The sequence below is a fragment of the Homo sapiens genome, chromosome 11 (genome assembly GCF_000001405.40).
Source record: "Homo sapiens chromosome 11, GRCh38.p14 Primary Assembly".
Taxonomy (NCBI): domain Eukaryota; kingdom Metazoa; phylum Chordata; class Mammalia; order Primates; family Hominidae; genus Homo; species Homo sapiens.
In genome coordinates, this window is record NC_000011.10 from 64,640,132 (window position 1) to 64,660,719 (window position 20,588).

At 56.9% G+C, this 20,588-nt stretch overlaps 1 protein-coding gene and 1 long non-coding RNA gene across 12 annotated transcripts in view, besides 11 other annotated features; one reads left to right on the forward strand and one right to left on the reverse strand.

The window, feature by feature from the left end:
• Positions 1-20,588, reverse strand: part of NRXN2 (neurexin 2) — a 117,024-nt gene that overhangs the window by 33,958 nt on the left and 62,478 nt on the right. For 6 of the 10 annotated variants that reach the window (NM_001376266.1, NM_001376265.1, NM_001376267.1 and 3 more), the window contains 7 exons: positions 20,201-20,404; positions 13,565-13,591; positions 11,904-12,023; positions 11,124-11,505; positions 10,317-10,507; positions 8,603-8,776; positions 8,088-8,207 (listed from right to left, as the gene is read on the reverse strand). In NM_001376266.1, the coding sequence (NP_001363195.1) occupies positions 8,088-8,207; positions 8,603-8,776; positions 10,317-10,507; positions 11,124-11,505; positions 11,904-12,023; positions 13,565-13,591; positions 20,201-20,404 (1,218 nt within the window). Of the gene's footprint in view, positions 1-2,407; positions 3,415-8,087; positions 8,208-8,602; positions 8,777-10,316; positions 10,508-11,123; positions 11,506-11,903; positions 12,024-13,564; positions 13,592-20,200; positions 20,405-20,588 lie in introns of those variants that run through there. The other 4 variants (NM_001400682.1, NM_001400681.1, NM_138732.3 and 1 more) reach the window with 3 other exon arrangements.
• Positions 3,718-8,089, forward strand: NRXN2-AS1 (NRXN2 antisense RNA 1). 2 transcript variants are annotated; one of them, XR_007062722.1, is made up of 4 exons: positions 3,738-4,451; positions 5,508-5,594; positions 6,243-6,447; positions 7,173-8,089. It is a non-coding gene; the product is annotated as an NRXN2 antisense RNA 1 (long non-coding RNA). The 2 variants fall into 2 exon arrangements; XR_001748259.3 differs by having other exon boundaries at positions 3,718-4,451; positions 5,508-6,447; positions 7,176-8,089.
• Positions 6,804-7,305: an enhancer, noted in NCBI's record as "H3K4me1 hESC enhancer chr11:64414407-64414908 (GRCh37/hg19 assembly coordinates)". NCBI's record gives its function as "activates a minimal SCP1, AML or CMV promoter by ChIP-STARR-seq in primed H9 embryonic stem cells {active_cell/tissue: H9 hESC(primed)}" and the evidence as "EXISTENCE:reporter gene assay evidence [ECO:0000049][PMID:30033119]".
• Positions 7,306-7,805: an enhancer, noted in NCBI's record as "H3K4me1 hESC enhancer chr11:64414909-64415408 (GRCh37/hg19 assembly coordinates)". NCBI's record gives its function as "activates a minimal SCP1, AML or CMV promoter by ChIP-STARR-seq in primed H9 embryonic stem cells {active_cell/tissue: H9 hESC(primed)}" and the evidence as "EXISTENCE:reporter gene assay evidence [ECO:0000049][PMID:30033119]".
• Positions 7,923-8,891: an enhancer, noted in NCBI's record as "H3K4me1 hESC enhancer chr11:64415526-64416494 (GRCh37/hg19 assembly coordinates)". NCBI's record gives its function as "activates a minimal SCP1, AML or CMV promoter by ChIP-STARR-seq in naive H9 embryonic stem cells {active_cell/tissue: H9 hESC(naive)}" and the evidence as "EXISTENCE:reporter gene assay evidence [ECO:0000049][PMID:30033119]".
• Positions 11,592-12,091: an enhancer, noted in NCBI's record as "H3K4me1 hESC enhancer chr11:64419195-64419694 (GRCh37/hg19 assembly coordinates)". NCBI's record gives its function as "activates a minimal SCP1, AML or CMV promoter by ChIP-STARR-seq in primed H9 embryonic stem cells {active_cell/tissue: H9 hESC(primed)}" and the evidence as "EXISTENCE:reporter gene assay evidence [ECO:0000049][PMID:30033119]".
• Positions 13,434-13,934: an enhancer, noted in NCBI's record as "H3K4me1 hESC enhancer chr11:64421037-64421537 (GRCh37/hg19 assembly coordinates)". NCBI's record gives its function as "activates a minimal SCP1, AML or CMV promoter by ChIP-STARR-seq in primed H9 embryonic stem cells {active_cell/tissue: H9 hESC(primed)}" and the evidence as "EXISTENCE:reporter gene assay evidence [ECO:0000049][PMID:30033119]".
• Positions 14,896-15,055: an enhancer, noted in NCBI's record as "active region_4906". NCBI's record gives its function as "activates an Ori minimal core promoter by ATAC-STARR-seq in GM12878 lymphoblastoid cells {active_cell/tissue: GM12878}" and the evidence as "EXISTENCE:reporter gene assay evidence [ECO:0000049][PMID:35858748]".
• Positions 16,546-17,047: an enhancer, noted in NCBI's record as "H3K4me1 hESC enhancer chr11:64424149-64424650 (GRCh37/hg19 assembly coordinates)". NCBI's record gives its function as "activates a minimal SCP1, AML or CMV promoter by ChIP-STARR-seq in primed H9 embryonic stem cells {active_cell/tissue: H9 hESC(primed)}" and the evidence as "EXISTENCE:reporter gene assay evidence [ECO:0000049][PMID:30033119]".
• Positions 17,048-17,547: an enhancer, noted in NCBI's record as "H3K4me1 hESC enhancer chr11:64424651-64425150 (GRCh37/hg19 assembly coordinates)". NCBI's record gives its function as "activates a minimal SCP1, AML or CMV promoter by ChIP-STARR-seq in primed H9 embryonic stem cells {active_cell/tissue: H9 hESC(primed)}" and the evidence as "EXISTENCE:reporter gene assay evidence [ECO:0000049][PMID:30033119]".
• Positions 18,898-19,565: an enhancer, noted in NCBI's record as "H3K4me1 hESC enhancer chr11:64426501-64427168 (GRCh37/hg19 assembly coordinates)". NCBI's record gives its function as "activates a minimal SCP1, AML or CMV promoter by ChIP-STARR-seq in naive H9 embryonic stem cells {active_cell/tissue: H9 hESC(naive)}" and the evidence as "EXISTENCE:reporter gene assay evidence [ECO:0000049][PMID:30033119]".
• Positions 18,898-20,557: a biological region, named in NCBI's record as "P300/CBP strongly-dependent group 1 enhancer GRCh37_chr11:64426961-64428160".
• Positions 19,358-20,557: an enhancer, noted in NCBI's record as "P300/CBP strongly-dependent group 1 enhancer chr11:64426961-64428160 (GRCh37/hg19 assembly coordinates)". NCBI's record gives its function as "activates an origin of replication core promoter dependent on BRD2, BRD4, P300/CBP, MED14 and CDK7 cofactors, with strong dependence on P300/CBP, by STARR-seq in HCT116 cells {active_cell/tissue: HCT116}" and the evidence as "EXISTENCE:reporter gene assay evidence [ECO:0000049][PMID:35650434]".

Consider the following 20,588-nt stretch of genomic DNA (forward strand, 5'->3'; position numbering starts at 1 on the left):
CACCAGGCACTGGTCCTCTTTCTCCTCTGCACAGCAAAGGGGTGGCCATCTCTGAGGTGATCCTAAGGCCAACATTCCATACCCTGTCCTCCATACTCTTCTGGCCACTTTCAATCCCTCTGTCCAGCTTTTGCTCCTTCACGGAATCTTCCTTGGGCACTCTGGCTCCCAGGCCCTCCTTCCTACCTGCTCAGGGTCCCTCAGCCAGTTCCTCTCTCCTACACCTTCCTCTTCCACACTCTCTTCATCCTGCAAAGCTCCCCAGTATCCCTGACTTCCTTTATCTATCTGACTCCTTCATGCTTTGCCTCACTGCCCAGAAAGACCATGGCCTATCTGGGCACCTTTGGGGGCAACACTGGGCCTCAAGGGAGCCAGAAGGAGACAATGAAAGGGGGAGGAAGGTAACAAAGAGCCAGAGAGTTCCTGGGGAGGGGGAGGGAGTTAAGGTCCAGGAGCAAGGGGTTGGGTGGGGTCATGGAAGAAGAGAAGGAAACTGAAGAGTGTTGCCTGAGAGGAGCCAGGTGGGACAGAGATAAGATGAGGCAAACTGTATTCGGGATGAGAGAATAAAAGAATGGAGGAAAGAGTTTGAAGGAAGTGCTCCAGGGAAACTGGATGAAGAGAAAACGGAAGCATGAAAAGGGAGATAAAGATAAAGTAGGAGAAAAGGAAGAAGACCAGCAAATGAGCAGAAAGATTGGAGGTGATACAGGGGCAGGATTGGGAAGCAAAGAGGGACTGGCATGGAGCAAGAATGGGGAGGCACCCAGGGGCACAGATGGGAAGGGTGAAAATACAGGAATGGAAGATGATGGAGGAGCAAAAATGGAGTAAAGAATAAGAGGGGATGGAGAGACAGAAACAGGAAGTGATGAGGGTACAAGGATAGGAAGGGAGAGAAGTGCAGACATGGGAGGCCACCTGGGTACAAAGCGAGAACTGATGAAGGCACAGCGATGAGAGGGAATGGGAGCATGGAGGTGTCAGAGAACCCTGATGGGAGGCGACGGACATGGAAGGTGAAGAGAGAGGGGCACAGAGAGGAGAGGACATGAATAGGAGGACAGGTATGTGAGGTGTTGAGAGCACAGGGATGGGATGAGATGGGACAGGATGGGATGGGATGGAGGCACAGAAATGGGAGGTGAGAGAGGTACAGAGATAGAGGTAATGGGGCTACCCTCTGAAAGGTAATGACAAGGTGCAGAGATGGGAAGTGATGAATAGACTAAAATGGGAGGTGAGGAGGTCCCTGGGATGCAAGTGACAGAAGTCCTGAGATGGAACGTGGAGGGACTGAGGTGGAAAGTGATGGGGCTGACATGAGATGAAATAAAATGTGAAGAGGGCCAGATGTAGAAGGTAATGGGGAGGACAGAGCTTGGGAGTGATGGGGGCACAGAGTATGGAGGACAGAGATGGAAGGTGACAGGTACAGGGGTGAGAAGAGATGGCATGCAGAGAATCTTAGGGGTCTAAGATATGAAGTGATGGGGGGCCTGAGATGGGGCTGAGGAAGGACGGAAATGAGAAGGTGATGGGGTCTGAGAAGGAAGGTTAAGTTTTTCCATAGATGGTTATGAGGGGCAGAGATAGGAGGTGATTGTAAGTGGACAGCGATAGAGGACTGACACAGGAGGGGAAGCCTGGAAACGGGAAGTGCTGGACCTACAGAGGTGAGATGCTGGGGGTCAGAGGTAGAGACAGAGCAGAGATGAGGGGACATGGAAGGGAGACACTAGAGATTAGGGGAACAAGGATGGGAGAATGGCGGGACAGTGGAGTGAGTTGGGAGGTGATGGAAGGCCAGTCATGGGAAAAGAAAGGAAGGTTGCTAGAGGGATGGAGGTAAAACAGAGACATACATGAAGAGGTCAAGGAGGAAGAGACATGTCAGAGGCAGAAATGACAGATGTGACAGAGGTGGGAGAGAGGTGAAGGGGGAGAGATGACAGACCAGCGATGGAAGGGTGAGGGTGAGGCAGAGGTGGAGGCAAGACAGATGGAGAGATGATAAGGGGCCGAGATGGAGAAGGTGATGCGCAAGAGAAATGGAAGGCAGAGCTGCACGGAGAGGATGAAAGGACAGACAGGGCGGGGAGGGTAAGGAAGTAGAAGGAGATAATGAACCAGACCTAGGGGTAAGCAGGTTTAGGTGAGGCCAGGAAGCAAAGTGCTGAAGACAGAGATGAGGGTGATGGGGGAGAGGAGAGATGGAGGCAAGGGTGGGGCTGAGATGATGGGAGCTGGAGATTGGAGGTGAAGGGGCTCCGGGACGCAAAGCAGAGGGGCCAGGCTCGGCGTGCACAGCTGGGGTGGGGCCCGCGGGGGCCCAGCTGCGCACACGGGAAGCGCCCCCCGCCCCCGGGCCAACCGGGTGGCCGGCATCTACAGTGCCACTTACCGTGGCCGCCGCGGGTGAGGAAGGGCATGCGGTTGATGGCGATGGGCACGGTGCCGTGCTTGCTGTGGAAGTGGTGGACGTGGTGGGTGGTGCTGAGGCTGGAGGAGACCCGGGCCCCCTCGGCCGCCCCCAGCAGCAACAGCAGCAACAGCGGCAACAGCGGCAGCAGAGGTGGCGGCGGCGGCGGTGGAGGCGGCGGCAGGGGCCCAGCCAGGGCCGGGGGGCGGCGCGGGCACCCCCCCGGCCCGCTCCCCCCGGGGGGCATTTCGGCCCGGGGGCGACCGCCTCACAGCCCCATGGCCGGGGGCGGGGACGCGGGGCTGCGCAGCCCCGCGAAGCCCCCCTCCGGCTCCGAGCTCCGGGAGCGGGGTAGGGATGAAGCGGAGGTAAACCAGGGCCCAAGCCTCGGTCCGGAGCCAACAAAATCAACTGGATCCCGCCGGGAAATCGGGGGTCCGCGGAGCGGCAACGCCAAGGTCCAGGATGCCTGGGTCCATCGCGAGGAGCTAGGGGTCTCTCTGCATCCCGGCGGGGTCGGAGCGGCGCAGAGGGCCGTCAGAAACCCGGGGGAGCGCCCGGGGGAGGGGGCATGGTGCCGAGTGGAGAGGGAGGGGAGCGCGGGGGCCAAGCAGGGAGGGGAGAGCGAGGGAAATCCTGCGGAAAAACCGAGCTGGGGAGCGGGGCGGTGCGGGCTGGAGGAGAGAAGAGGGACGGAGACCTGGTTCCCCCGAAGGCGGGAGACCGACGGCGACTGGGGCCGGCCGCGCCGCTGCTGCCGCTGCCGCCCGACGGAGGCCGGGGGAAAGGAGGGAGCGGCCGGGGGAGGGGGGGGCGGGAGAAGGGGGAAGGGAAGCAAATCCGGGTGAGGGGGGAATGAAGGGATAGGAGAGGAGGGGATAGGAGAGGAGGGGAGCGGGGCTGAGCCGAGGAAAGGCGCGAGCCTGCGAGATTCCGGCGGAGAGATGGAGGCAGCGAAGTGTTGCTGCAGAGGCTGAGAGGGCTGGAAGGGAGAGGGAGGGAGGGAGAGAGGGAGAGAGGGAGAGAGGGAGGGAGGGAGGGAAGGAGGAGAGCGGAGAGGGGAGGGGAAGCGCGGGAGGAGGAGGGGGCAGGGCGGAGGGACCAGAGCGGCTCCCGATCTGCGGGCGGCGCTGGGCAGCTCAGCCGCGCGGCACCTGGCTAGCCCGCTCGGCGCTCTCCTCTCCTCTGCGCGCGCCCGCCCCTCCCCCGCGCCTGGACGCGCGCGCTCCTCCTGCACCCCCCTCCTGGAGAAGGGACCCTGCTGAATAATGGAACGGGATTGAGGCTAGCAAGAGAGGCCACTTTCTTCCTCCCCGCCCACCCCACCCGGATGAACCCCAATAATGCTCTCTGGCACAGCCTGCTGAGATGCCGCGGCGGCCACCTCTGCACCACCCCTCGCAACGCACGTGCACACTGAGATGTGTATCGGCTTGGGTATGGAAACATCCACGTGCCCATATGGGCACAGTGTGCGGGTAGGCACACAGGCTCAGACACATACATGCATGCATGTGCTCACAGACACTGGCACACCAACTTACTCTCAGGGGAGCATATACACATGCTCACAGGGCATACATCCGTGCACACACACGTTTGATCACAGGACATGAATGGCCAACATACACACAGACACCCCTGCTCCCCAAGCTCACCCTCCAAAATAGGGTCCACAGCATACAGTGCACCCAGAGCCTTCGAGGTACTCAGGAATAAGACATGCCACACACGTACAACTCCCCACCACCTCCCCAAAAAGCTGCTCCCCCAGCCCCCTGCACAAGCCTCTCCTGGACTCCTCCAATCCTTCCTCTCCACTACCACTGCCCCTCCCCCAGCCCCAACCTCTCCCTCCATGGGGGGTCTAGAGGACACCTGCCCACTGAGTGTCCCATTTAGGACAAAACCCTTCCTGGGCCACGTATGTCAAGCTGAGGAAACCACTTCTCCTTCAGGATGCCCTCCAATTGGGTTCTGTCCCCCAAACTTTTGGACGCTCTGGAAAGCACCTGTGGCCCCAGAGGTAAGCACAGAGAGACTCCTTTCCCGTCACCGGGTCGTATGCACCAACCTGCTCGGACAGGGGAGAGGGTGGGAAGGCAGAGGGTAGAGGAGGAGGGAAAGGAGGAGAGAGGTGGAGAGGGCACCTGGGGGAGCTGAAGAAACAGTGCAGCGGAGTGAGGAGGAGGGCTGGGTAAGGAAAGGACAGGAGGCAGGGGCGGGTGAAGTGAGAAAGGGGAGGGCTGGGAGAGAGGAGGCTGGGAGGGGCTGGAGAGAGCTGGCTCCTATTTATTGATTCTAAACTCCATTTGGGAGCAAAAACTGTCACCACGAGCCCCATGTGCCACCCCCAGCTCCAGGATGCAGTCAGGACCCAGGACATCTCCCCAATGCTGCTGCCAGTCCTCCATCCCTACTACATGCCAGAGCTGGATTTGGCCCCCAGGTCTTTAGAAGTGAAGAAAGCGGTCCTCAGAGGCACCCAGAGGAGGCTTCCGGTGGTGCAGGGCCCCGAGCCATGCAGTGCTGGAGGAGAGACTGCATGCCAGGAGCAGGGCTGGGGCCCCCAGAGGCCACGTCCTCCTGCCCTCTCTATCACGTTCTTGGGCCCCTGGATCTGGAATATAGACTGACACAGCTCTGAGCAGGCAGAAAATTTATGGTTCCACAGGGAGGGAGGGAGGAGCCGGTGGCGAGAGGAAAGGAAGGGAAACCGCCTAGAGGCCAATCAATACCAGTGAGTGGGAACTGGAGAGAGATGGGGGGGCCAAGGCTGAGAAGGGAGGGGGAGATATAGAGGGTAAAAAAGAAGGGAAAGACAGAGGTATGTAAGAGATCAATAGAGACTGCAGAGATGAACGGAGACAGGGAGGCAGAGATGGTAAGGAATTGACCGCCTGGGAGAGGCAGGAGACAGGCTCTGAAAGACAGAGGAGTAAGCAGGCCTGATGGGAACACCTCGGTCCCAAATCTCAGCCCTGGGAAGTGTCTCTTTTAGCTACCCTTTCTCATTTCATATTCTCTTTTTCATTTGCTGTCCACTTTCCTCCATCTCATCTTTTCTCTCCTGTCTTCCCAGAGCAGACACTCATAAGCCTTAAAGGAACACAAAGTCCCCTCCACCCCCAGGAGTAGTCCCCATGTCACAGATGGAGAAATTGAGGTGGTAAGTGGGGAAAAGTTGTTCTGAAGGTGTGACCTCTCCTCACCCTAGTCTCTCCCCCACCAGACAGCTCCAACCCCCAGCCCCACCCTTCAGAGGACAGGCCCTGCTCCTTCCACCTTTGCCATTTCTACCCTCTTTCCTCTCTTGAAACCAGGGCCTGCCTGCGCCCCCAGGGCCTCCCACGGGTGAAGGCAGAGCTAACTGAACGGGTCTCTCTGCTGGGTTCCTGCCTGACCTTGTACATCACAGGGCCCCAAGAAGACGTGCCATAGAAACAGAGCATGAAAAACCAGAGACAAGCTAGGAAGGAGGAGTAGCCCTGGGAGAAGAGAGGATTGGGTCCCACTCCCAAGATTCCTGCCCTGCCCTCCAGGGGCGGAGATCTCAGCATTACCCCAGAGCCAGAGCTCAGAGCAGCAGCACACTGAGCCCTGTGTGGCCCCCAGGTTGCACCCACCTTGTCTTAGCTCCACAGCTTTGCAGAGACCAGTGCTTGGGGATGGTGACGCCTCCCAAGATGCACCCTGCTCCCCAGCCCCAACTCTCCCTCCCTCCCACCAGCCTGGTACCCAAAGAAGTTGCTCTTCCTATCCCTGCTGAAAGGTAGCACAACCCTCACTTCCCATCCATCTCATGCCCCCTTTCCAGAAGGCTCCACTGTGTGGGAGTGAAGCAGTGGCGACGGGCAGCAGCGCTTCGTGATCCTGATTTCTTCCACCCCAGGCAAGAAGTGCCCACCATGGGTACCACCACCACCCCTCCCCCGAGGACTAAATGAGCAGCAGGGAGTGACAAACAGTCAGGTGCACCTAAGTTCCAGCCAAGCTCTACCATCGACACTCTATGACTTGGGGTGAGTAACTGCCTCTTACTGAGGCCTGGGTTTCCGTATCAGTTAAACACAAAGGCCACTGCCTTCTCTGAGGATCAAATTAAAAGGGCCTTGTAGCAGCAAAACATGAAACTATTAGTGGGGAGTGTTACTATTAAGCAACGAAGTTACCATCATCTCCAGATCTGTGCAAAACTGAGTTAGCTGGAGGGGAAGAGGTCCAGCCACAGCCAGGTCTCCATGCCTTGGCAGTCAGGCTGGAACACCCTCAGCTGGCCATTGTCTGGAGGCTTTGGAAGGCACAGACAGCAGCAGGTCAAGTAAGGAAAATCTTGGGAGACAGAGTGGAGATGTGGTGGTACCCAAGGGCTGGACATGCCTAAGAACACGAGGAAAGCACTGAGGGAGATGGGGTAGACATTTTTTTCAAAGGGGAAAGAAAAACTAACACCACCCAAGAGCTCCTGGACCCAGTAGGTTTCTCCTGTAAGAAACTCAGGACTCATGCCCAGGTGATGAAGGTCCCGCAGTGTGGTATGGAGGCAAAGGCACTGACTGGAGTCTCACCCCAAATCTGCTATGAACTACCTCCAGAAATCGACTGTCCCTCTCCAGCCGTATTCCATGTCTGTAAAATGGAGACGCTTCGTTGTGTGTGTGTGTGTGTGTGTGTGTGTGTGCATGTGTGTGTGCGTGCCTGTGTGTGTTTCTTCCCAGGCAGTTGACTTTTCTGCTTGGTCTCTCAGCAGGACCCCAGGGAAGATGATTCAAGCAATGCTGAGGAGGCTGCACTCTGCCCACCCACTCCAGCCCCATCATCCAAGGGAAATGCCAAAGCTACCCCACAGAGTAGAAGGTTGCCTCCCCGCCATTCCTGCCTCAGCTGCCCTCCCTCTGCAGGGCTCTAACCAGCTGCAGGCCACCAACCACTAGGGACTGGGAGCTGCTGCTGACCCTGCCCTCTCTGGGGAGGGGCCTCAAACAGAATGCAAGTTGGCAATCAGATGTCCAGCCTAGGAGGAAAAGAACCAAGCGAAGACAGTAGGGAGTGACCTTGTGGCTCAAGGGGACAAACTGCAGCCGGGATTATTGGGGAAGAAAGAGGAGCCCATTCCAGGGAAACCAGCTGTCCAGCAGCCTGGCCTCCTGGAAGCCTCCAGAGCCTGTCCTCTGGGGTGTGGTCCTGCTCTCAGCAGGAAATAACAGATTCCCACTTCATGCCCTGAGGGCACCAAAGGGGGTGCAGATTGTTAACAGCCCCCCTCCCTGTGCAATAGTGTGTCTGTGTGAGGTACAAGTACATGTAAGGCCATCACCAAAACTACACAGGACAGCAGCAAGTTCACCCCACTAAGGCCAACACCTTTGGTTTTGGGTGAAGGGAGCAGGGTCCCACCAGCTGAGAACAAGGAGGAGAGGCCATCTATCAGTGGGTCCCCCCAGAGCTTCAGGCAGCAGCAATCCTGCACAGCCCCAGGAGAAAGACCCTATGAGGGGACAGCAGGCCACAGCTCCCCTGGGACTCTGCAGACAAGGGATGAGAAGGAAGAAGCAGCACAGCTCCTGAATGCTCAGAGGCCCTGTTTCCTCCCTGGCAGCCCCTATGGCTGGGAATGGACCCTGGTCTCCCCAAACTGCCCCCAGCCCTCCCAGGCACTCACGATCATTGCAGACAGGGCCTCCATAGGAAGTCATGGTGCAGTCGCAGGTGAAGCCATCCCACTGCTGCAAGCAGACGCCCTGGTTGGCACAGGACTCTTCAGTGCAGGTGGTGCTGGGGCCTGGAAGGGGCAGGAGAAAGGAACACCCCTGGCTCAGCCAAGCCCCCTCTTTCCCCAGGAGGTGTGGAAGCTTCAGAGCCAGGCAGAGAGGTCCTACTCTGAGCTCTGCCTGGCTGAAAGGGCCAAGTACTGATGACAGGGATTGGGGCAGGAGGGTCAGGTCTGCTAGGCTTGGCCTTGGACTGTGACAAGGGGCCAGGGTGTGAGACAACAGGGAGGGCAAGTGACCCTTCACACACCTGTATCCCTGCCCCAGAACTGTGGGGGCAAGCTCCCATAAGGCCTGAGAAGGAAGGCCCCTTGGCAGAGCAAAGGCTACCTGCCCCGGTCTGCCTCTGCAGCTGGCCATCCTGTAGCCAGTAGGGCCACACCTCACTCCTCCACCCTCCACTCACCATCACAGCCCCTCTCCACCTGCCCAATGCGGTGCAGGGCGTCGGCGATGAGGTCTGGGAGACGTCCGTTGAGGTCCACTGAGGCCAGGCAGCCCTGAAAGCCATCCCGGGAGGCCACCAGCTTGGGCAGGTTGCTGAACATATTCTTGCTCAGACCGCCAATGTACAACTCCCCTGCAAAGGGAGTGGGTCAACCAAGGCATCCAGGTCCCCATTCCCATCCCAAGACAATGGCATCTGGCTGTCAGGTCCTCCCAGCCTTCTCAGGTTCTCTGCGTTCCATCCCAGATTCCAGGTCCCTAACAGAGATCCAGAGACCTGCACAACCCGCACCCCCCCAACACACTTCTTCCTTCTCCACTTTGCCATCTGCCTGCTCCCCTCCCAGAGAAGCCCAGATGCCTGGGAGAGTGGGGGCTGGGGGACAGCTGGAGGAACCTGCTCTGTGCTCTCTCCCACACATTTGATTCCAGTTCCGGCCCGTAATCAGGGCCTTTCATAGATGCGCAGCCCAATCCCGTCCACCCCCATTCCCTCCCTCCCAAAGTTTCCCATTCCCAGAACTCCTTCAAGCCTTTCCCAACTCTTGGGCTCTCTCCTAGGGAGTTCAAAGCCCAGCTCCCTTCCCCCAACAACTAGGGCTTGGCCTTGGGACTCTGGGAAGTTCTCCTCCGCAACACCTGATCCCCTGCCACAGAGCCTAACTCCCTGGAATCCCTGGAAGCCCTAGCCAGCCCACAGCCGAGCTTCAGTCAAGACACTGGTCAGTCTGCTGCCCTGGCCACGGGCTCAGTACAACACAAGACCCGCCAAGATAACCCCCGGGGTTTGGGGCCACTTTGGATTCTCTGTGACACATCGCCCCCTTCTGAGAACAAGGGGAATTCACAGCACTATGTCAAGAGATCTGACAGATCTCAGATCTGAGGGAGTGGGGCAGTTAATTCCATGGTCTCTGAGGACCCTCCCCAAGCTCTGACAGTATGAGGCAGGCTGATGCCCAGGGGTTCCTATGGGGCTGAGGGCTGCTTTGGGCATGTGCAAGAAAGTAGATCACATTGCCCTCAGTAGGCTCTGGAGAAGCTGCATCTTTCCTGTCCCAATGCTCAGGCCTTAGCTCACCCTCCTCCTCCCTGATCTCTCAGTCACCCATTCTGGGGGCAGGCAATGACTGCTTCAATGACCACTGAAGAGGCCCTGGGGAATGTGGCACCCTGATGTGACCCTGAGCACACCAGGGAAGCCTAGGTCCAAAATGTCCCCAAGCTAGCCCAGCCGATGCCCAAGACAGGTGACTCGGGGACTCTAGCTCCTGCTACGTCCTCTGCCCCATAGCGTCTACCTCACCCAGGAGGATGCTAAGCTCCCTATTCTCACTCCAGCCCTCAACCAACATAGGCTTCTCAACCTTGGAGGCCCAGGAGGTCCTTGGAGGGCCTGGGTTACCTACTCCTAGCTCTGGAATGAGGCCACCAAGCACCCTGTGAGACGCATCCTGCAACCAGGCTTTCAGTGGTGACATGCAGACTCACAAGAGAGCCAAGCAGAACTTGGACAGGAAGATGTCAGGCTGGACATAGTGGAGACAGGGAAAGAGAGGTGGAAACTGGGGGCAGGGAACCGAGGGAAGCAGCGTCGCAGGAATGGGGTGATCTCGCTGGGGTGAGGGGTATCTGGGCTAGGGCCAGGCCTTCTCCAGAGGCCCCAGCCCCACCTTTGAGATCGAGGTTTCGGGCGCCATTGGAGTGCTGCGTGACAGTGCGGGAGTCAATCTTGAGCGTGTGCACGTTGCCTGGGTCCCTGGACACCACCACGTTGTGCCACTGGTTGTCATTGACTGGTTTGTCTGAGTTCCCCTTCATCAAGGACGGGCCATTCCCCAGGTCAAACACGTAGTGGATGTACCTGCCCCACAGTAGGGAGGAGACACTGGGTCAGGGCGGGGGTGATGCTGGGAAGGTGGGGTGAGGAGGAGCTATGGCTGGCAGGGGTCCTAGGTGCCATGGGAAGAGGGATTGAAAGGGAGACCCCAGAGGAGAGCGACCAAAACCAATGGCAAGAGGGCTATGGTGTGAGGTCCTGTCACGGGGAGAATGTAAGGAAGGAGGGCCACCAAGGAGCCGGCTCTTGTGACACAACCTCAGAAGAGGAGCTAGAGGGGAGAGGTTTGTGGGTCAGCAGGGTCCTCTGGAGGCAGGGACTGGGCTGCTCTGGAGTGGGGTCCCCTAAGGCAACGGAGGGGCAAGACTGACTTCTGCCTGTAGAGAAGGTGACAGTGGACAGAGAACAGATATAACAGGGAACTCTGGCAAGGAAGCAGCTGGGGAGTCAGCAGTGGAAGAGGGTGTGCTTCTCCATCTTGGCTGAAGAGGGAGCCTCTCGACTTACGGTCGGGGACCTGAATCTTGACTTGTGATCTGGGGGGATTGGACACCTCGGCCAGTAGCCAGGAGAGCTGTATGTGGTTCAGCAGGGGGAGGGGGCCACCTCCTTGACAGCAGTGCAATCCCCAGCCCCTCACCCCTTGACCAGCTCGATGACAATGAAGTCATTGCCGTTGCCCGAGTTGAACAGAAGAAGCCCATCAGGGGCCGTGGTCTTGAACTGGAAGAAGAGGTGCATGGAAGCATAGGCTTGGAGCGTGGCGAGTGCCAGGTAGCTGCTGCGACTCTTGAAGGTGACGGGATCGGCCACGATGGCACGCAGGCCAAAGCGAGCATTGAGCTCACAGTAGGTGATGTCACCATCCTTGCACTGGTCCATGTAGGGCTGGCCATTGAACACGAGCCCACTCAGATGCCCGATGAAGTTGGAGGGCACCACGGAGATAAACCGCCGCTCCGTCATGATGCCCGTCTCAATGTTGTGGAACTCCAGCCGCATATGGGCTCCTGCCATCTGTCCTGCTCAGGACAGGAGACCAAGATGAGGGGGATGGCTTTGGGGCAGGGCTGGGGCTTGGGTTCCCAGGAGCCTCCCCTCCACAGGAGGGCCACCCATGAGTGACATCTTTAGAGATGTCCTCGGCTAGGCACTAGCAGCCAGCACAGCTCCAAGAGGAGTGGCAGGACTCGCCAGTCAAGAGCCAACAGGCTGCCAGGGGAATGCTGCCTACAGGGAGTTGAAATCGTTCCTGGGGTCCAGATGCCCATAACATTCCACCCCTGAAGGAGAAATGGCAGAGGCAGCTTGCCAGAACACTGCCCTAGGAATGGCAGCCCAGGCAGTAGTCACCAAGTAGAACAGGGCCAAGCATAGGTCACTGGAGATGTGTCCACCTCCCTGGGCCCAGACCACCTACCCTCCACAGTCACGTTGTCCACAGACAGCTGCAGGCTCTTGCCACGCCGGACCACCCTCACCGTGTGCCACTCATTGTCATTGAGCTTGTGCCCCGCAAACAGCGTTTCGGGGCCTTTACCTGCGGCACCAAGGGGGGAATGAGGAGGGCACCTATACATGCTCATAGGTGACTTCCTATATCACCTTGGATACACAGACAGCCTCCCCATCCCCGCACATGCCACACATGAACACATACATGACCAGTGGCTCATATTTGGCCACGCAACACACCCATGAATACAAGTACACACACTTATAGCCTCCCATCACACCTGGAGTCCATGCACACGCAGAGCTTTTATACCCCAGTCATACATCCACTCTCAGGACTGCCCTTTGTGTGACTTTAGGAGGTGCCATGCACATAGAATATTAAGTGAATGGTGCCTCTGGAGTTGTACCCTGAGGCCCTGCACACAGACACCCACACCTATGACCAACATACTCTTCCCCCAGATTCCTAAGGGCCTTCAGTGAGTGTGGCCAGAAGCTATATTCCCAGGGTGTAAACACAGACCTAAAACTTTCAAAACTTCACACAGTACCCAAATGTAAATGCGAGCCCACAGCTTCGGCCTCTGTTACACAGACACCAGCTCCTCCATCTACAATGGGACCCGATGGGACCTTTCTACATACACATGCCTGGTTAACGTCACACACCAAGTCACGCCACCACACGTACTGCCCATAAATATGCAGGATGGCCAGAGAGGGGAAGGTTCTGTTTCTTAGGAACTATGGCCATTTACTCAAGACCAGGATTATCAGCTTCCAGAGTCTAAAACAAAACATACTTATCTTTCAAATGCTGCTGGACTTTGCAGCACTCTCTGGTCATCCCTGCCCCCCCACCCCGAGGGCTCCAGCACGCACACAGCATGCCACACACACATGAAGAGCAGGGCGCCCAGCACACACAGTCTCTCTGCCTGGGCCTACCACGTGCATGTGCTCCCCCATGTGACCCCAAGCCACACCATGCAGAAACACCCTGAGACACAGCATTGAGCCCAGGCGCACTGGGATGTCTGGAGATGTCCACCTGCTCACTCTCCATCTCACCCCTGCTGAGAGCCCTCACTGTCACCATAGAAGGAGCCCCCATTTGGCAGAAACTCACCCCAGCTAACACAGGAGCTGAAGAGGGCTCCCTTCCCACCCTCATCCTCTTTCCTGCATCCCTCGCCTTCCCCCTTGTGGCCAATTCTGGAGATGCAGCAGCGTATTCCAGCCCCTCTCAGGCTCCTCCCTGCCAGTCCATAGGACCACAGGTGCTACCCAAGACTCTGCCCCAGCCCTTGATTTCTACCTCCTCCCCACCCTCCTGCTGACTTGGGTAAAGGGTGTCCTTGTCTCTCCCTTCCTAGACCCAGTGAACATCCTGACTGCAGGCCCTCCCCCAGCTCTCCTTGGCTCTGCTTCATTTGGTCCCTCCTGCCTTCCACAACCACCCAACCTCACCCTCCTGCCTGCACCCCTCCCCACACTCAAGGCCCAACCCCCATTCGAGCCAGCAATCACGGCTTCTCTTCCTCCCAGCCTCCCTCCCTAAATCCCAGCGTCCAGCATCCCAGTCCCCTTGGGTCTCTGCAGAAGAAGAGGGAAGCCACTTACTGGGTGCGCAGCCGACGCGCAGGCAGTCTGGGGGGGCCATGGGGCGGGCAGAGGGGAAGGGGAGACAAAAAGGTAAAACAAGTTTTTTTTTTTTTTACATCCTTCACAGGGAGGGGTGTCTGCGGGCGGGGTTCCCCCCAGGGCCACTTTCCGGGGACCACGCGTGCCCAGGTGCCCTCTTCCCTTCCTCAGTTGGACCCCTGTCCCTCCTGCCCCCAAGAGGGCTCCAACCCTCCCCAGAGCTGGAAGGCAGGGCAGTCAGATGATGGGAAGAGGGCTTGTGGCCCCCTTCTTAGAGGGTACCAGGCCTCTAGTGTCTGAGGGAGACGGGCACCTTGGGAATCCCAGTCGTACAGGGGATCAATGGGGGCCGAGGGCTTGACCAACCCCACATCTCCCCTGTCTCTGGGAGGGAGATGGGTGGGGAGAGCCAGAATCCCTGCATCCCCTGCTCTGGGACGACTCCCTCCTCAGAGCCCAGGTGTGACTTGTCACTCCCTGTTCCCCTCTGGGCTCTGAGCTAAATGGAGGGGTCTGCCCCAGGGCCCCCTTCCCGAGGCCATACACCTCCCAAAGCCCCAGTGGCTAGTACCACCCCTACAGGAACCTTCCTTCCACCCTTTCCAATCCTGGGAAATGCCAGGCTGCTACTGGGGATAGATCATGGGAGTCCTTCACCCTGAAGAGGACCTAGTATTAACCTGCTTTCCTAGTCAGAGGAGCCAAGGCCTCACAGATAGAGACAGTGCAGCCCCCAAAATATGATTTCTCTGAGAACACAAAGCAGTTGGGGACAAGCAGCCACCATAAGCAAAGTTTCCTGCCCCTGCCCCAGTCCGGTCCTGGCATTGCTATCCTCTGATTTCAGGACTGGGAAGGCCCCGTGTGGCTACACAGAGCCAGCAGCCCAGGGCCCTGAAGCCTCTGGCCATCCCTCTGGTTAGACACACCACCCAAAGGTGGGAGCCAGTCAGGTCTTGCAGAGGGAACAGTGGACCAGGGTCCTATGAAGTCCAGATTTAAGGCCTTTAGGATGTCTGCACCACTCCATCAAACGCCAAGCCTGACGCAGCCCAAGGGAGGGGACTGGCTGGAGCTGCAGAAATCCTTTACTGGGAAGCAAGGGAGCTGGGTCCTCATCTCCACCCTAACACTCACTAACTCACTGTGTGACCCTGGGCAAAGCACTTCTCTCCATGCCTCAGCTTCCCTCCATGTGAGCTGAGGGAATGGATAACAGTAGGATCCTGAGCAGGAAGTAGGCAGCAGGTAGACACTGGGTTGGCTTTGCCTTTCAGAGAGGGGCAGTCTCCCGGCCCTCGATTGACAGGCCCAATACCCTGGCCTCCTGTCGCTCCACCCCAAATAGGCTCTGCCTACCCCACAGCCCAGGAAGCAAAGGGGGTGGGCAGCTGCATCCCCTGGGCCCCTGAAGGTTCCTGCAGTGGAGGTAAACTGATGCCCCTGTGGCTTTGAGGGCCACGGCCCTTCGGCAGTACAGCTGAGCTCCACACGCGTTGTCAACCGCAGCAGAAGAGTGGAGGCGAGCAGCCAGGACCCTGGGCCACAGCCTGGCACCAAGGGAGGAGCAGAGGAGCAGAAAAAGGTCAAAAGGCAGACACAGAGGGAAGTGAGAAGTCTCAGTGAGAGGAATGAGGTAGAGAGAGTGCAGAGAGAAAAGAGGAAGAAAACGGAGCAGAGGAAGGAGCGGCTGCACAGAGGGGACAGGGGAGGCTGGACAGAAGAGGAAGGGGAGGACTGTTAGGGTGAGGGTAGAAGGGTGCCAGGCCCTGGAGTCAGGTCACGGGGGCTCTCTCGGGGCCAGCAGAGTCTTCACCAATGAAGGGTCCAAAAAAAGAAAAAAGGGGAGGCTGGATGGGCAAGCAGGTCCCCTACTGGGGAAAAGACCCAAAGAAGGAGCTTGATTCTTCTCCTTCCCCAGCAAGGGAGCACCAGGAATGGGGGGTCCATCTGTCCAGAGAAGAGGTGTCAGCTCCAGGCCCACCCCTGCAGAGACTCCACCCTCAGAAACACAGGCTCCAGTAGGGTTTGCAAGAGCAAACGACTTGAAGATGGGCACCCAGAGGGAAGCCAGCCCCATCCAGAAGAAAGCCAGAGACTGAGAGTGAGCAGGAGAAACCCAGCCTCTTCAACATACACATTCACCAAAGTTCAGGGGGCACTAACTAGTAACCTGTTAACTAGTGACCTGTGCCTCAAGTGCAGGGAATAGGCAGAAGTGAGTGGTCTTCGTGGCACAGACCCACGAAGGCCCTGGCTGGACAGAGAGAGCAGGGTCGTAGTATGAACACGTGTTGGGGAGGTAAGACAAAGCAGTCTGCATGGAAAGGAACTCAGGGGAAAGAACACTGGCTTCCCAGCCCTGCCTCACCTGGGTTCCTTCCCCGCCCAGGCCCTGTGGGTTGGAGACAGTGGGCCCAAGGCTCCCAGGCATCTGTCTCAGAAGTGACATCACAGAGTGGCAGCATGCACTCTGTCATAGCCCTCCTTCAGAGCTGGCTCCCAGCAGCCCCCCTGATAATTACTGATCAGCCTCAGGTGGAAAGGCAATGTACCCTCCCATGGCCCCAGGGATTAAAGGGCTTTGGGATACAATGTGTATTTAGCCTGATTTAAAACACAAACGGGAGTTAGATTTCTCCGTTTGATTCCAAGGGGCAGAACTAACGGGAATTTCACAATAAGTGGGAATTTCACAATAAGTGGGAATTTCAGAAGGGCAGGGTGACACTAAGAAAGAACCACTCAATGATCAGAATGGATCTTGGAGGTGGGAGGTAGAAGGCCTCCCACTGGTAGGGAGTGTATGGGTGATTCATGGGGTGGGGAGGGATGCTGAAGGAGGTAACCCCCTTGCAGCTCAGAGATTCTTTAATTACACCACACCCTTCAGGTCAGCTGCACTGACAGCTGGGACCCCAGGGGCACACCTAGTAGAGGACAGTGCCCAGCCTGGCCTGTCCTCTCCTCCCCTCCAGGGAGGGGCCCAGGCCATGCTGGGATAGGGCAAAGAATCCAGGGGACTCTACCATCCTCTAGGGACAGAGATCAACTCCCCAACTCAGGGGCTGCAGACAGCAGAGCTCAAGGAACTTGCTCAGTGTTTGCAAACATAGTGGGGGCTGGGAAGCTGCAGCAGGAGGCACGATAAGTTCCTTAGGATCCTCTGCCTGGAAAGAGGCAGCAGTGCCTTTTTGTCCCTCTCTTATCTAGCAAATATCCCATCTCTTGAGGCTAGCACTAAGCGATCCCACCTAGTGGTCACCCGCAGCCTCCGCTCCCTCTTCAGGCCCAGCCTGGGGCCTGTTTCAATCCACTGAGTGCCTGTGGAGCTGCAGAGCTGCCTCCTGGAGCAATAGCTTCCCTCTACAGGATAAGATCATGAGGCCAGAGACCAAGCCTCACCAGGCTTCTCTCTCTTCCCCAGTAGTGAGTCCAGCCCAGGCCTGGGGCCTTGGTGTTGCTGCCGGTCTGTGAGGCCCTGCAAGTCCTGGGGAGCAAGCAATGGGGGACAGGAATGGGGCTCTTGAAGTGATTCACGTGGGCCAGGAGGCTGAAGGAGGTGACGCCTTGTGGTTCAGAGATTCTTTACACTGCACTTTTCCCATCAGCTGCACTGACAGCTGGGACCCCATGGGCACACCTAGTAGAGGACAACTCCAGTCTGTCCATGCTATGTGGAAGTGGCCCCCAGGCCTGGCTCCAAACTCAAGTCTCTATTCCAATATGGTTTTGTTTTCCTTCAAGAAGGCTGGGTGGGTCTCTACTATGGGTCTTGCATCTACACAATGGTTTCAATGGTTTCATTCCCATTCTTCCATCTGAGCCTCAAAACCACCACAGACGTAGGCAGAGTGAAGATTCTTATCTCCATTTTAAAGATTAAAAAAAAGAGAGAGAGACTCAGAGATGGGAAATGACTTACCCAACAGTAAAAGATACCAAAGTTAGGCCCCAGGTCTTCTGGCCCGGAGCCCAGAACTCTTCCCATCCCAACCCAAGGCTTGGTGGCTGGGTAGGGGCCACCTGCGTGTCCACAGTGCCTACAGAGGAGGAATCTGTAGACGGATGCATTTGCACCAAGCCTTTGGTCACAGATTGTCAGGAGTCATGCTAGAGATGGCATCTCAGCACACACATGTCTACAGATGGGGGCAGGGGCACAGCCAGGAGTAAGAAATGGGTGGGAGGAGAGTCCTGTTATCTGTCAGTCTGGGAAGCCTATTCTTAACATGATGTGTCTTCCAAGAGGCCACCTTGTTATCTGACTTCTGAGCACTTATGTGGCACAGACAGAAAAGTGTGCCCATGGAGAGGAGAGGGTGGGTCCCAAGGGCCCACAGGATAGGTTTTCCTGACCAAGGACATTGTTTCCTGTCTAATCTTAAGAGACACAATCTTCTTCCCAGGGGCCTAGGACAGTCCAAATAAGCAAAATGCATCTGCCTTCCCTGCAGATCCAAGGCCCCAGATTTTTCCTGCTGTGTCCCCAGCAAGCACAGAGACATGTGTTTAGATGCAGACAACACACATATGCCCAGGCAAAGTAGGGGGGAACTCACACTGGATACACAAATCTGGGCAGACTTGGAAGTACAGAGCCACTTATGGGGTCCTTGGCTGGGGCTATCCTCTTGTGACAGTTTCAGGGATGCAAGGGAGCATTGTGCAGACTTGTGGAGCATTGACTAGAGTGTCTCCCAGCCTGCTTTCCCCTGCAGAGCTGCTGCACACCACCCGCTCTACAGGCTGTGATCGTGGTTAGAAACAGAGCTGAGGGGAACCCTTCAAACAACTCTGAGGCCCTGGCCACCTGCATATCTCCCCACCTCCAGTCCCCACCTCTCTCAGCAAATCTTTGTCCTAGGAATACAAAGGCCAGGTGGCCAAAAGGGGAAAAGGAAAGAACATAGTATAAATACATTTACAAGGCAATGGGTTCCCCAAAGGCCACAGTCTGTCCCACAAATGCCCCGGAGACCAATGTTAGGATGAGACTCCAGATGAGTATTTAAAAGTTCAAAGTTCAGCCAGGCACAGTGGCTCATGCCTGTAATCCCAGCACTTTGGGAGGCCGAGGCGGGTGGATCACGAGGCCAGGAGATCAAGACCAGCGTGGCCAAGATGGTGAAACCCCATCTCTACTAAAAATACAAAAATTAGCCAGGCGTGGTGGCGGGTGCCTGTAATCCCAGCTACTCGGGAGGCTGAGGCAGAGAATCACATGAACCCGGGAGGCAGAGGTTGCAGTGAGCCCAGATCACGCCACTGCACTCCCACCTGGGTGAAAGAGCGAGACTCCATCTCAAAAAACAAAAAAAATGGTCAAAGCTCTGTATTCTCTCCAGTCGAGGATTCTAACCTGCTCAGAAGAGCCCTGCTTCCCCTCTAGGTCCAGGATACAACAAGTGACCCTGATGACCTGCAAGCTTCCTATACGGCTGGTGCTACACCTTTATAAGCTTCTAGAGGCCAGTCTGAAATGGACAGATTTGACCTCAGCCTGAACAGCTTAGGACCTCTCATTCCCAGGGTTCCCCTGCTCTGAAAGCTCCAAAGGGGTGGGGACTGCTTATTCACTGCTGTAGCCCCTGGCTTGAACATACCTAGCATTTATATGGTGTCCCATAAATAGCTGAATGAGTGAACCTGCTGTTTTCTTTTTGCCCTGACTAGGAGAGCTGAAGCCCGTGAGAAGAACCTAACAGGCTCATGGTCTGGCCCTCATGGACACCCCGGGGACCACCAGGTGAAGTGGAGTCAAGGCCTGCTCTCAACCCTGGGCATGGGTGGAGACATGAGTCAGCATGAGTGGCCTGAGGGGGAGGGTCAGCAGCCCTGTCCGAGGCAATGGGAAAAGCACTGAATTTTAAGGCAAATGGCCCAGGTTGAGTCCTGGCTCCTCCCTCTGCCTTCACTAGTTTTGTAATGTTGAACAAGTCAATACATGAATTTCATAATCTATAAAACAGGGACAGTAATGCTTGTTTGGTGATCTAGTGTCTTCACAGGACAGCCATGAGGCTCAAATGTGAAAGCTCATGGCACTAGAAACGGGAAGATGGCACGTCTGTGTGTCCAGTGTACACACATGCACCTCCACACACCAACACACAGACTGCTGTTTAGACTGAGCAGAGCAGTGGGGGGCAGCTGCGTGCATGGACCAGGCCTTCCTCATCTCTGTATCTGCCACCACACTGAGCTCAGGCTTAGCACCCACTAGGCGTCAGCAAGTGCTTCTCAAATGAATGAACCAATGAATGAGCAAGTGGATGAGCCATTGACCAAAAATGAGCTGTGTCATCTGTGTGTGTGCAGGACAGATGCTACCAAGATCCACATGAGTCACCAGGGAGGACAGTTAGCATACCCCAGATACTCTGGGTCTTGCCCCTCACAGTGTCGTCGAGCATGGAATGTCGCCCTACACTGTGCGTCCTCACCAGGGACAGAGCTCTCAGGGTCTCTGACCCAGGCTGGCGCCTCCCCACCTCCAAACTCTGCTGAGGGCACCTCTTGCTGGTGCCACCACCAGCTTCTCCAGACAGAGGCAGGTGTGGGTCAGAGACAAGGCCAGGTGAGGGGTCAGGAAGCACAGGGCAGGGTGGTTACCGAGGTTGACAGTGAGCTTCATCTGCCCCCCATCCAGCTCCAGGCGTAGGGTGTCGGCAGACTCCCTGGAAGTGGTGGCCATCATGAGTCCGTAGGCCCGCTGGGACATGAAACGCAGGGACACATCCTCTGCCTCCGTGTGCATGGCGTTAGGCAGCATGATCTTCATGTACATGGAGCCATCGTAGCTCAGGACCGTGGCCTCTGCCCACAGGAGTTGGGGAAGAGGGAAGGAGAAGACAGGCAGAGGCCAGGGGAGGGAGAAGACCAGAGAATCATTACAAGGGCGAAAAGCCTAGGGCAGGTCTATGAGGGGTTCCCCTAGGAGGAGGTGGCACAGGGATGGAAAGTAGGAGTCACCCTGAGAAGGAGGAGCACAGGGATAGGG